We start from the raw sequence: 3,019 nt of genomic DNA on the forward strand, positions 1-3,019 counted from the left end.
AGAAATCTGCTGTTAATCTAATAGGTTTTCCTTTATAGATTACCTGATGCTTTTGCCTCACAGTTCTTTTCTTTCCTTTGTTTTGAATTTAGATAACCTGATGACTATGTGCCCAGGTAATAACCTTTTTGCAATGAATTTCCTGGGTGTTCTTTGAGCTTCTTGTATTTGGATGTCCAGATCTCTAGCAAGGCTAACGAAGTTTTCCTCAATTATTACCTCAAACATGTTTTCCAAACTTTTAGATTTCTCTTATTCCTCGAGAACAATTATTCTTAGGTTTGGTCATTTAACATAATCCCAAACTTCTTGGAGGCTTTGTTTATATTGCTTGAATTTTTTTTCTTTGTCATTGTTTGATTGAGTTAATTCAAGAGTCTTTTCTTTGGGCTCTGATTTTTTTGTTTGTTTGTTTGCTTGTTTGTTTGTTTGTTTTACTTATGCAGTTCTATTGTTTAGACTCTCCAGTGTATTTTGCATTTCTCTAAGTGTGCTCTTTATTTCCAGAAGTTGTGATTGTTTTTTATTTATGCTATGTATTTCTTGGGAGATTTTACTGTCCATATCCTGTAACTTTTTTACATCTCTTTAAATGGTATTCACCTTTCTCTGTTGCCTCCCTGAGTAGCTTAATAATGGAACTTTTGAATTCTTTTTCTGGCAATTCAGAAATTACTTCTTGATTTGGATCCATGGCTGGTGAGTTAGTGTGATGTTTTGCAGTGTTACAAAACTTGTTTTGTCATATTACCAGAAATGTTTTTCTGGTTCCTTCTCATTTGTGTGGACTATGTCAGAGGAAGGTTCTCAGGCTCAGGGGCTGCTGTTCAGATTCTTTTGTCTCATGTGATTTTCCCTTGATGTGGTGCACTCCCCTTTCCCCTAGGGATGGGGCTTCCTGGGAGCTGGACTGCAGTGATTGTTATTTCTCTTTTGTGCATAACCACCCAGTGGAGTTACTGGGCTCCAGGCTGGTACTGAAGAGTGTCTGCAAGAGTCCTGTGATGTAATCCATCTTCAGATCTCTCAGCCATGGATACCAGCTTCTGCTCTGCTGGTGGTAGCAGGGAGGTGAGGTGAACTCTGTGTTGGACCTCAATTGTAGTTTTGTTTACTGCACAGGTATTCTCGAATGGTGGTTGTGCTGTTGGCATTAAGTTACAATGTGGACAAACTCAGGTTAGCCAGGATGTTACAAGTGGTGGAGTTAGCTGTTGTTTTCTCCTTTCTTGTGGCTGGGTTGTTCTTTTATGAGTTGTGTTACTAGAGGAGGTGTATCTTTCAAGAGAGCATCAGCTGTGTTAGTACAGGGAGGATACAAGCTTGCCCTAATAAATTTCCTAAATAAATTTCCCAGGCAGTGGGCTGGGTCATAGAGCTCCCAAGAGATTGTGTCCTTTGTCTTGGACTACTAGGATGGGTAGAGAAAGACCATCAGTTGGGGGAGGAGTTAGGCGTGTCTGAGCTCAGACTCCTTGGGTAGGCCTTGCTGCAGCCACTGTGGGGAATGGAGGTGTGGTTCTCAGGCCGATAAAGTTATGTTCCCTGGGGGATTATGGCTACCTCTGCTGTGTCACACAGATTACCAGGGAAATGAGGGAAAGCCAGCAGAGACAGGCCTCACCAAGCTCCCAGGCAGCCAGAAAAGCCAGTCTCAGTTCTGTTTCTCTGTGCTCCCCCAGCAGCAACAAGTTTATATCCAGGCAGCCAGTGAGCAGAGCTGGGAACTTGCTCCAGGCTCCAGGCCTCCCTGCTGAGAAAACAATCAGGGCTTTCAGACTTTGCCCCTCCTCACCACAGTTTCTGTCCTTCTATCTGCACTTCCTGTTCACCTCCCACCCCAAGATTCTACCCTGGAAAATGCGTGCTTAGTTGAAATTATTACGAAGTTCAGCTAGAAGTTTCCTTCAGTCAGAAATTGTTTCCCTGGGCTTCCTTGGAACTGGGAGTGCCTCAAGGCTCTTCTTGCTGCTGCTTCTTCTTTTATATTTTGCTTGGCTCTCTAAATTTGTTTCAGCTCTAGGTAAGGTTAAATCCTTCTCCCATGATCTGGATTTTCAGGCTCCCCTGCGAAGATGTGTGTTTGGGGCAGACTTTCCCCCTCTCACACTTTGGACACTCAACGATTTTGTGGCTGTCTCTAGGAGTTTGCAGTGGTAAGCCATGTTTTTCAACGGGTCTGTGAATTCTTTCAGTATTCCTGGTATGTTCCTGTGGTAGTTCTTGGAGCAACAATTCACAATATGAATCTCCACATGCTGTGTCCATTGAAGTGGGAGCTGCAAGTTAGTCCTGCCTCCTATCTGCCATTTTATCAGGCCACTTAGATAGTCTTTCATTCAAGCTGGAGCAGAGTGGCATGAAGAACTTCTAAAAAAGATTCATAGGAGTCTTGGGTTTATAACAAGATCTGTCTGAGAAGCTGATATATCTGTTAACTTCTGTGCTCTACTCATGAGCACAGGAGGCTTGAGCTTACCACTAGACTACTGAAAACGACGCATAGAAGTCAGTCTTTTTCTAGATCTTACATGCTCTCTTCAGTATGGTCCAGGTAGTATTATCTAAGAAAAGAAAAACATTGGCATTTTAGCAGTTCTCTGAGCAAATTCACCTCAAATTGCAGCCTTGACTACAACTGTCTTTGCAACTCTTGCTCCTTCTTGCACAATGCCCTTTTCTAAATTTCTACAGCTCCTTCCACCAGAAAATCTATGTCTTACAGTGCCTTTGCCTCTACCTATTTCAAGAAAATAAAATTAGAAACAACATACATTTAATTTAGATTTAATCTCTAGCTTCCCTCTAGCCACTCCTCTCACAGTGCCCTTTCCTGGACACCAACTAGAACTGCAGTAATGGAGGTCACCGCTCCCCCCGGAAACTTGGTTGTCTTAGGCAGACTCCAAGCTGCTGTGCTGGTCAGTGGGGATTACAAGCTAGTGATTCTTATCTTGTGGGGTTCGGTGGAAGTGAGACCTGCTGAGCAAGACCTCTTGGCTCTCTGGCTTCAGCCCCT

The 3,019-nt window shown here is 43.1% G+C and overlaps 1 annotated feature.

Annotated features, from left to right (window-relative positions):
- Positions 1,140-1,828: an enhancer, noted in NCBI's record as "NANOG-H3K27ac hESC enhancer chr2:126816617-126817305 (GRCh37/hg19 assembly coordinates)". NCBI's record gives its function as "activates a minimal SCP1, AML or CMV promoter by ChIP-STARR-seq in primed H9 embryonic stem cells {active_cell/tissue: H9 hESC(primed)}" and the evidence as "EXISTENCE:reporter gene assay evidence [ECO:0000049][PMID:30033119]".

The sequence above is a fragment of the Homo sapiens genome, chromosome 2, assembly GCF_000001405.40.
Source record: "Homo sapiens chromosome 2, GRCh38.p14 Primary Assembly".
Lineage (NCBI taxonomy): Eukaryota > Metazoa > Chordata > Mammalia > Primates > Hominidae > Homo > Homo sapiens.